Source organism: Homo sapiens, chromosome 8 (genome assembly GCF_000001405.40).
Source record: "Homo sapiens chromosome 8, GRCh38.p14 Primary Assembly".
Lineage (NCBI taxonomy): Eukaryota > Metazoa > Chordata > Mammalia > Primates > Hominidae > Homo > Homo sapiens.
This window is the reverse complement of record NC_000008.11, coordinates 92,784,998-92,795,549: the sequence shown is the minus strand read 5'-3', so window position 1 is coordinate 92,795,549 and position 10,552 is coordinate 92,784,998. Positions and strand designations below refer to the sequence as shown.

General features: G+C 36.3%; 1 long non-coding RNA gene across 1 annotated transcript in view; it reads left to right on the top strand.

Annotated features, from left to right (window-relative positions):
• The first annotated feature begins 9,489 nt into the window (after positions 1–9,489).
• Positions 9,490–10,552, top strand: part of FLJ46284 (uncharacterized LOC441369) — a 73,099-nt gene continuing 72,036 nt past the window's right edge. Inside the window, exon 1 of the long non-coding RNA NR_046114.1 lies at positions 9,490–9,574. This is a non-coding gene — a long non-coding RNA (uncharacterized LOC441369). The remainder of the gene's footprint in view (positions 9,575–10,552) is intronic.

Here is a 10,552-nt window from a genome sequence, read left to right as displayed (position 1 = left end):
GTATAAAGAAACCATGATCTGTACATACAATATGTTCAACTTATCAAATTTTACCTTTTAAGTATATGCAGTTTATTATATGTTAATTATATCTCAATTAAGCTGTTAAACATGAAAAGGTAAAAAGGCTTACTTGAAGTAAATTTGAACTTCAATTTCAATAAACTATGAAATCAATAAACAGAACACACAGATATACTTGCTCTAGCACATTTTCTGTCAAAATGGAATCTTGCTGGTGTCATTGGGAGTAGAGTGGATTTAGGAAAGAAATTTACCTTGAGATGTGGATACATTTTCTTAAGAAACTTATCTGCATCTCAAAAATAGCTTTAGGATCAGATGATACGGTAGTTGCTATGGAAACTGCGTATTGGAGGCAGAATCACAGTGTGTAAAAGTTGTAAGTTAAAAACACCTTATAGTATAAATCCCTGCAGTTTCTCTCACTCATCCTCCTGCTTTGGGAAGTAAAAATCACTTCTTAATGAACTTAAGAGTCTTTTAAAAGTATTTTTTCAAAACATTCTTATCTGCTGAGTCTATCTGTTACTAGAACTTAACATCCCTGGGTGCATAAGTTAAAGGTAACATTTTAACTGATGGGAAATGGAGATTTTGCAATTATGAACCATTTACAAGGAACTAGTGTGGAAAATTGCAGGCAACCTCTTTCAGACGTGACCAACAGGTAAAAGACAATTTGATGGTAGTTCAATTTATCCTAATGAATGGGAAGGAAATGGGAAAGCAATTAGGGCTTCCATGAGCTTTCCTGTTAGCTCCACTCAGATTTCATTATTTTCACCACATATGTAAGAATTAGTTTTCCTCTGGATACTTCACATAAACATAGGAATGTACTTAAGATTCATATATTTAAGAAGCCAGCAAAGAACCTGCATTCTTAAACCTTATAAAATAAAGTTGTGGCTTTCTGAACCACAAAAATTTCTCATTGTATTTCTGCTGTATCACACTCCAGTCCATATATTTATTGCAGACTCTAGAGTCACAGAATCTGTAGTCTTTCTGGCTAGACATCAAACGTAGCCTCAATCAGAGATATTTTTACCACTTGGTTCACTTGCTTTAATTATACCAGGTGTCTGGGATATTTTATTTTATTGAATCTACTAGATTTTCTGAAACCACATAAAAAAAGACTATAAAATTGAACTTAAACATGAGCTCATTTCTAATTTTAACAGTTTCAAATTGTCTCTGTTTTGCTAGTTAGGTTTGTTTCATTTTTAGGGGGTAATCAAATTAGAATTGTGTTTAGAGTATTCTGTCTTCAAGTTATTGCTTGTGATTATGGCAACATGAATTAATATCTTTATCTTTCCTCTAGGGAAAATTCAGCCTTACACTTTCAGCATTTGATTCATACTGTGAAGGCAAATTTCACACTGGGAAAAGTGTGCTTCCTTTCTCAGACCACATTCCCTCTAAAGGATCATACTAAAATGTAAACAGAACTGCTTCGAACTCTCTACTAGCTTAACTATCCATTACAGGATGAAGACCAACCAACCACATCCTCCATGATCTATGCAGCTCTTACCTATTTAATTTTCATCAATAGCCAGCCCCTCACTGCATATTACCCTAAATAATCTAAAAACATATGGAATGACGTATTTCCTCAAATCTATCCTGCTCTTTGCCCTAAGACTTTGCACAAGCCCTCTCTGAGAACACTTGACCCCTTTTTCTAAATCTAGAGAATTCCTGAGTGTTTCCTCCTTTGAAGTTTTTTCTGACTTCCTCAAGGAGAGCTCCTCACTCCCACTTACCTCTCTATCTATGCGCATACCTGTATTGAAACATTTACTGTAGTGTATTGCACATATGCATCCCTTTTACCAGACTGTCAACTCTCTGAGGCAGGACTTTCTTACCCACCTTTGTACTCTGTCTAGGAGGGGACTCAGCCCAGGTCATCTACCATCCCTAGTCTGGCTCCCCAGGTAGACATTGTATTAGAAATATAATTGTTAGTTTTCTACTTTATGTGGTGTTTCAGTCAAGGCCACGAGAATGCTAGAATCTTCCCCTATCAGTTTCCCAAGTCATTCTATATTATGCTGAAACAGGAGCAGGACATAAATCAGAGAACTTTAATTGTTATACAAGCACTTGACTCCTAAAAGAATTCTGGTCCAAGACTCTGTCGGAATGCATGGCTTTTACTTAAGGTCTAAGTGAGATCTCCTACTTCCCTCTGACTCTTCAGTGAGAATGCAGTTTAAGAGAACAGAGGCTGAAAATTCAGCCTATGTTTCCCCATCTAGTTTTATGTAATGGTTAAGAACCTTATTAGTGTAACTGGGGGTCCAATCAATCTGGTCTTTCCTTAAAGGAAATAGGAGGATCTAGGCAGGGAAGACAGAGAAAGAGGCTGGAAAATTGACTCCTCCCTACTCTGTGCATTATGAGGTAGCTGCTGTAATTAACAATACAGTCCAGTTAGATTTTTCTGTCATCTCAGGCCACACAACTCTAAGGCCCAGCACTAGATTTCAGTTATTTTTAGTGAATTTGTTGCTGCATCAGGGTAGCAAAAACACAATACAAATAATTTTCAACTGAAAATAATAGCTAATCTTTAGCAATTCTCATGTGTCTGGCACTTATTGTGCACACTTTGTAAAGATTAACTCATTTAATTCTCACAATAATTGCATGAAATGAAAACAATTATAACCACAATTTGGGGACCAAGAAGTTAAGCAGCTTATCTAAAGTGACACAGGTAGTAAATGACAAAACCCAGGTGGCTTGCTCTGCAGACCTGGCCCTTAACCGCTATATACTTACTATAAGGCACATAGCTGAGCAGCTTCTCAGAACCAGCTACTGCTCCAGTTCCTGGAGATGCATGGGGAACAGCTGAGACATGGCATTTATCCTCAGAAGGCTCACAGTCTAATAAGGTGTATAGGTGGTATAATACAGTGTGATGGTAGCACCTCGGAGGTTCCCAAACACATACTTTGAGGAGCAAGTTAAGGTTTGGGGAAGAATTCGAGTTTGATAGGCTGACTAGGTAGGACAGTGTAAGTCAGGAAGGGATTATGGTCCTGTCATTAGCAAAGGCCCTGGGGCAACAGAAAGCATGGCATATTCAAGGCATTAAAGTTAGAAGCAGGAATACTACAGCCCCCTAAGCCGTTTTAACAGGTTTGGATATTATTTTGACATGTTTAGTTTGAGATGCCTGGGGGACATCCAAGTAGAGATTTGTGTCCATAATTCAGAAAAATATTTGGGCTGCAAATATATATTTGGGAGTTATTAGTATGTAAGTGGAAATGTAAACCATAGGGTGGATGAGGATGTGTGAAAAGATAGCATACATTAGCCTAAGTAGCACCCCAAATTAAGGAATGTCAGTAGATGAGAAACTCAGAGGTTGGGAACACAAAGGAGTCATTGAGAAAAAGGAAGAGAAGATGAAGAACATGATACCCGTGAGGCCCTAGGATCCCAGAGCATTCCAAGGAAGAGCAAATGGTCACCAGTAGCCAATGCTACAAAGGTAAGGACTAGGAAGTTTTATTGGATTTAGCAATAAGGTGGTTTAACTAGGTGAGAACAGCTAGAATGAAATGATGGACATGGAAGCCACTCTACAGTGGGTTGGAAGTGAATGGGGAAATGGGAAGTGAAGACTGTAAGTAGCAACAACTTTCTCAAGAGGCTTTTCTACCCATGTGGATCGAGTAGAAGGGAATAAAATGGTGTAGTCCTGTGGTCCATCATCTGAACTAAATTATAATCTTATTGAAAGGAAAGATTATGCCTTCTCTTTCTTTCGCACACAATACTCAGATAGTAACGTGCATTCATTAGATGCTAAATAAACTTGAAGATGGATTTTGTTTTGTTTCGTTTTGTTTTTGTTTTTTAAGACAGGGTCTCGCTCTCTCGCCCAGGGTGGAGTGCAGTGGTGTGACTCTGCCTTCGGGGTTCAAAGGATTCTTGTGCTTCAGCCTCCTGAGTGGTTGGAATTACAGGCGCACATGCCACCATGCCTGGCTAATTTTTTGTGTGTTTTTCAGTGGAGACTGGGTTTTGCCATGTTGCCCAGGCTTATCTCGAACTCCTGGCCTCAAGTGATCCACTAACCTTGGCCTCCCAAAGTGCTGGGATTACAGGCATGAGCCACAGCACCCAACAAAGATGGACTATTGATGGCAATAATTTGTTTTACTAAAAAGCAATATCTAACATATATGATAGCATTTTTACACTATAAACCTATTGGTTTTTTACTATAATTTTCTATACATCCTATGTGTACATAGCCATATTGTAATTAGTATTGATGATATCCCTATGTTAAGAAAATAAACAGAAACTTCACAAATAATAAAATATATTATAAGCAGTGTTGGTGTTAAGAATTATAATGCATTCTTTTTTCCAATTATTAATTTATAGGTAAAGTGTAATTCAGTTAACTGGCATATTTAGTAAAATAATATTTAATTTCCTACCTTTTCTAAGGAAGGGAACTGAACTTATATCAAGATTTTGTATTTTGAGGATTTGGCAGTGAGAAATTTTAGTCAATATAACATAGGGTATGTGTGACTTGAGAAATTACAATGGTAAGAATCCAACTCATAACATATGTCTAAACTGAATCTTAAAATTCAGAGGTTTGAATATTTATTTATAAGGTATTGTTTTTATGAGAAAAGTTGACAGATCTTTATAAATATAATTGAAATCACTTTTATCTACAATGATAGGTAGTTTTAATAGAGTTTTTATGACTTCAGATTAAGTTTTTGGTCAACTTACCCATATATTATTTTCTCCATTGATGTTTTATTCCATTGCTTTTAAAATTAAAAAGAACTAAAAAGCAAAGATATTTGTGAGTATTTTATGCAATCACTTACTAAATTAGGAAATTGCATTTCAGGCAACCCTCTGCTTATTGAAAATTATCCAATACAAACAATAGCCCTGGTTGGAAAGGCCACATATTGTGTTTTTTAGTATGATGATATGTTTATAATTACATTGAGTCAATTGCTTATGATATTTTGGCTTACAGACTAATGTGAAAAGTTACAAGCTAATTACAGTTGACCCTTGAACAACACAGGTTTGAACTGCATGGGTCCACTTACACATAGCTTTTCTTCTACCTCTGCCGTCCCTGAGACAGTGAGCCCAACCCATTCTTTTCCTCCTCCTCCTCAGTCTATTCAACATGAAGACGATGAAGATGAAGATTTTTGTATTAATCCACTTTCACTTAGCGAATAGAAAGAAAATAGTTAATGTATTTTCTCTTCTTTATGATTTTCTTAACATATTCTTTTATCAAGCTTACTTTATTATGGGAACACAGTATATGATAAATATAACATACAAAACGTGTTATGTTATGGGTAAGGATTTTGTTCAACAATAAGACTATTAGTAGTTAAGGTTTGGGGGAGTCAAAACTTATACTCAAATTTTCTGCTGTGTGGGCATCAGTGCCCTGACTCCCACGTTGTTGAAGGGTCTACTGTACTTGTATTTCCTAACAAAATGTTTTGATTATATATAGAGAGTGTTGATTTTCAAAGAATAAAAGTAGCTTAAGCAAAAAAAAAAAAAAAAATTACTGGACCAGTACAGGAGTTCTAAGGGGAAATAATAAAACTATTCTAAGTACTCCCTTACTTAAATTATTTCTCTGTTAGCCAATTTTTGTTACGTTCTATTGTGATAATAAATAGCTCAAAATCTCAGTAGCTTACAACATCAAAGACATACTTTTTGCTTCTGTTATATGCTGTTTCATGTATTTTTTTTTTTTGAGATGGGAGTCTCGCTGTGTTGCCCAGGCTGGAGTGCAATGGTGCGATGGAGGCTCACTGCAAGCTCCGCCTCCCAGGTTCACACCATTCTCCTGCCTCAGCCTCCTGAGTAGCTGGGACTACAGGCACCTGCCACCACCCCCAGCTAATTTTTTGTATTTTTAGTAGAGATGAGGTTTCACTGTGTTAGCCAGGATGGTCTCGATCTCCTGGCTCGGCTGCCTTGGCCTCCCAAAGTGCTGGGATTACAGGCATGAGCCACCGTGCCAGGCCACTGTTGCATGTATCACATGTTCTGTTACATATTAAGCTCTGCTTCATATATCTAAGTTGTTTTTCTTTTCTTTTTGATCACCCTACTAAAGTGGTAGCCCCTATTTTAGTTTCAAAGCAAATAAGAGAAATATCTTGTATTATTTTGTTTTCATGCTGCTAGTAGAGACATACCCAAGACTGGGTAATTCATAAAGGAAAGAGATTTAACTGACAATTGACTGACAGTTCAGCATGGCTGGGGAGGCCTCAGGAAACTTAACAATCATGGTATATAAGTGGAAGCAAACATGTCCTTCTTCACATTGTGGCAGCAAGGAGAAGTGAAGAGCAAAAGGAGGAAAAGCGTCTTATAAAACCATCAGATCACATGACAACTCACTCACTATCATGAGAACAGGATGGAGGAAGAGTCCTTCTGCTGAAAATGACTCTCTGCTATTGAAAGTGCCCCAGGCCAGGCTGAGTGCTGTGGCTCACTCCTGTAATTCCAGCAGTTTGAGAGGCCAAGGCCAGAGAATCACTTGAGCTCAGAAGTTCAAGACCACCCTGGGCAACATGCTGAGACTCTGTCTCTACAAAATATTTAAAAAATTAACTGGGCATTGTGGTGCGCTTCTGTGGTCCCAGCTACTCAGGAGGCTGAAGTAGAAGAATTGCTTGAGTCTGGCAGGCCTGAGGTTGTGGTGAGGTATGATTGTATCACTGCTCTCCAGGCTAGGTAACAGAACAAGACCCTGTCTCTAAATAAATAAACAGATAAATAAGAGAAAAAAGTAAAGAAAGTGCATCAAAGATCTGGCTAGAAAACAAAGAATTATCAGAGGCCAAAGTAAAAGGTAAATTAAAGTGGGAACCTAGTATGGTGAGCAGAGTTCATGTTCTGAGGGTGCTGCTAAGCCAAACCAACTTTCCCAGATTTTTAGGGTGTCATGGGGGGACAGGCAGAGGAAAGAGCCTAGTCCCACCTGGTAGAGCTCAGCATAGGGAGCACCACAGAGTCCGCTTTCAAGTAAGGATGACACAGCCCCCTGAAGACTGAGAAAAGAAAGTTGCCTATTTTGACATTTCCCAGTGGAGGGGAAACATATTTCTGAAGAATTGGTAATCACTTCTTCATCAAGTTTGTAGGAATAGCTCACATCGATTGGGTTAACTAACAAACCTCTTATTCCTCATGCTTCAACATGGTCTGTCTGTTCTCTGGTTCTACGGTTTGTCTTCATTACTGTACTCTCCATCTTCTGTGTCTTAAATCCTATAGTGTGTCCTCATTCTTGCTTTACTCCCTCATTTTGCTGAAGTGTATCTTTCAGTAATTTTCTAAGAACCAATCATTGAAAGTATATTTGCCAGTCTTTGTTTGGCAAAGACGACTGCTATTTGTTTACCGAAGTCCATTTCCTCTTCTTTCTAGGTATATGGTTATAATTCTCATCTCCCATGAAGCTAAATTATGACCAATGGAATGTGCAAAGTGATATGCCACTTCCAGGTCTGGCTTGTAAAAGCCTCTCACGTGTGGCCTCTCAAGTTCGTTCCCCCTCTGTGTCCTCTATGTACTTGTTGGAGGTGGCAGGGCCTTTTTGGTCTGAGTTCCCTGAGTGACCACATGAAGAGCGACATCTAGTAGCATGGATTGTTACCATGGTCCTTTAGAAGAGCAAGAAATAATCTTCAAATACACACACACACACACATTTGTTTACATATATATATATATCATAATAGTATTCCTTTATTTTAGCATATGCTGTTATCCTACTAATGTTATATACTTTGCATGCTTGCAAATATCTTCATCTTTACATTTCAGCAATATATTATACAACATTTTAGGTGAAAAATATTTTTTTCTTTAGAATGTTGAAGATCTGACTACATTGTCTTCTAGGATCCAGCATTGCTGTTGAGGGGTCTGATGTTATTTGATTTCTGTTCCTCCTTTGGAGACTACTTTCTTTCTTCTGGGAGCTTTTCTTGTAGAACATCTAATTCTGAAATTTCAAGGTGGTATCATTTGGGTTCATCTTTTTATTTTATTCGCTTTTTTGGGTACTTAGTGAGCTAGTCAAATTTAGGGGCTTATGTCTTTTACCTTTAAAATTGTTTATTGAGTTTTATATGTGATAATTCTTTCCCCTTTATTTTCTTTGTTCTCTCTCTAGAAATATTACTCTAAAGATATTGGAAATGTTTATTACTTTTTCTTTTATATTTTCCATATTTTTGACTTTTTGTTTTATGTTCTGTGAGGTTTACTTGAATTTTTATTTTAAATATAATTTTCTATATCAAGATTCATATTTGGTAGTTGTCTAAAGTCATTATTTTTTTCCTATTCTATTTTCCAAGCATCCTTCTCCTCCTATTATTGCCCTGGTAGATTAATACAATTTGAAACACATTTACTATTCTTTTAGCAGGGCTTTGGTAGAAGAAATAAATCCATAATCCATCTGATATATTTGGTAAGGAGATCTTTATGAACAAAGTATAAGGTAAAATACAACTAGAAATTGGGTATCACTGAAGCCTAGTGATGTTATGTTTACAACGAGGTAATCTCAGTATTTATACTGCTTAGGGCCACTCACCCAGACAGCTCCAGGGCTATGGGAAGAGCCACAGTAAAGCTGTGGACAGTTTCTCTTTGTGTTATCTAAGACATCCGGTGTCAGGCCCTTCATGGGTGACATTAGTTATGCATAATAACCTGTATTAAGTTCAGAGAACCAAGCAGCAGTATGCCTGGCTTTTAAAACTACAGGCTGTAAAGTCTTGAAGAACTTAGTTCAAATCCTGCTCTGGTATTTCCTAACAGTGAGACTTTGGTTATGTTTCTTAATTTCTCTGAGCTTCTGAATTCTCATCTGCAACATGGAGATTAATTATTGTCCCTACTTCCTAGGCCTGTTGTGAGGATTAGTTGAGATAATGTGTGTGATATAGTTAGCACAGTGTCAGGTATAGGAGGTTCTGAATGAATGACAGCTATTATTATTTTAATGGTACATAATTACACATGAACACAAGCTGTAACATTCCACAAATTGGGATCATCTAGAATGAATTAAGATATGCATGTGCTCTTGAAATGAAGAAATATAATAACTATATAAAATATTACTTGCTTACAATAAGTATTTAAATTTGTAGTGAAAGAATTCACCAGAAAAAAGAGGCTGGAAAGATTTATTCAAATTTATAGGTGTGCCAAGGGTCCTGGAGAGAAGCTGAAAGACCCTTTACTGATATATATAATTTATATAATGTGAAGGCTTAAACCTATTGTAAGTAAATAATAAGTTTTGATAAATCATTTTTCTTTGATTTCTTCTTATTTTAATTTCTATTAAACTTGGTTTCATTTTTTTATTCACAGAAGTAAGCAAACATTTTCCTCTAATTCAGATTCTTTAAACAAAAGTTGCAAATGAATGTAGCCTTCATCTATTGTAAAATTAAAGGTAGGTATTTCATTATATTAACACTCTTCTCCTAGTATAACAAAAATAGAAGGATGTATTATATCATAATTACACTTTAATAACCTTTTTCTCCACTTTAATCTCACATTAAAATAAATGAAACATTTTAAAACACTTCTTTAAGCACAAAAGAAGAGAAGATGTAAAATTCCGTTTATTACCCTGAATAAACTGTGTTCCCACAATTGGAGCCATGTCAGGGGTGAATATTTTTAAATGTTTTTTCTGGAAGAGGCTATTTTGAAGCCTTGAGGGTTGTGTAGGCATCTAGAAGCAACAGAACTCAACTACAACAAATGAAGCCTTTATTATTTGTGTGTGTGTGTGTGTGCGCGCGTGCATAGGAGTGTAAAGCTTATACTTTGAATTCCTGAATAATATTTAATTGTATGAATATAAAACATTTTGTTTATTCTTTTGTTGGTTGATAGACATTAGAATTGTTTTCACTCTTTGGGTATTATGAATAATGTGATTAATGTTGCTGTGAACGTCCATGTACAATTCTTTGTGAGGAAATGCATTTTTATTCCCCTTGGGTAAATATATTGAAGTATAACTACTAAAATATATTGAAGTACAACTACTTGTAGAGTAGGTACGGATACAACTTACTAAAAACCTCTCAAATGTTTCCTAAAGTTCTTAAATTTTCACCCTGCCAGTGATGTCTGAGAATTGCAGATCTACCACATCCTCCTCAATATTTGGTGTTGTCAACACTTTTTATTGTAGCCATTCTAGTGATAGGAAAGGGAATCTCTGGTTTTGATTTGCATTTCCATCATTACTAATTGTGCTGAGAACTTTTCATGTGTTAACCATTGATATATCTTCTTTTGGATGCTAATTCTTTTGTCCATTTGTAATTGATCATTTGTGGTTTGGTTAATTATGTGCAAGAGTTCTTTACTTACATGTGAAGATTATAGATATATAATTTGAGAATACTTTCTC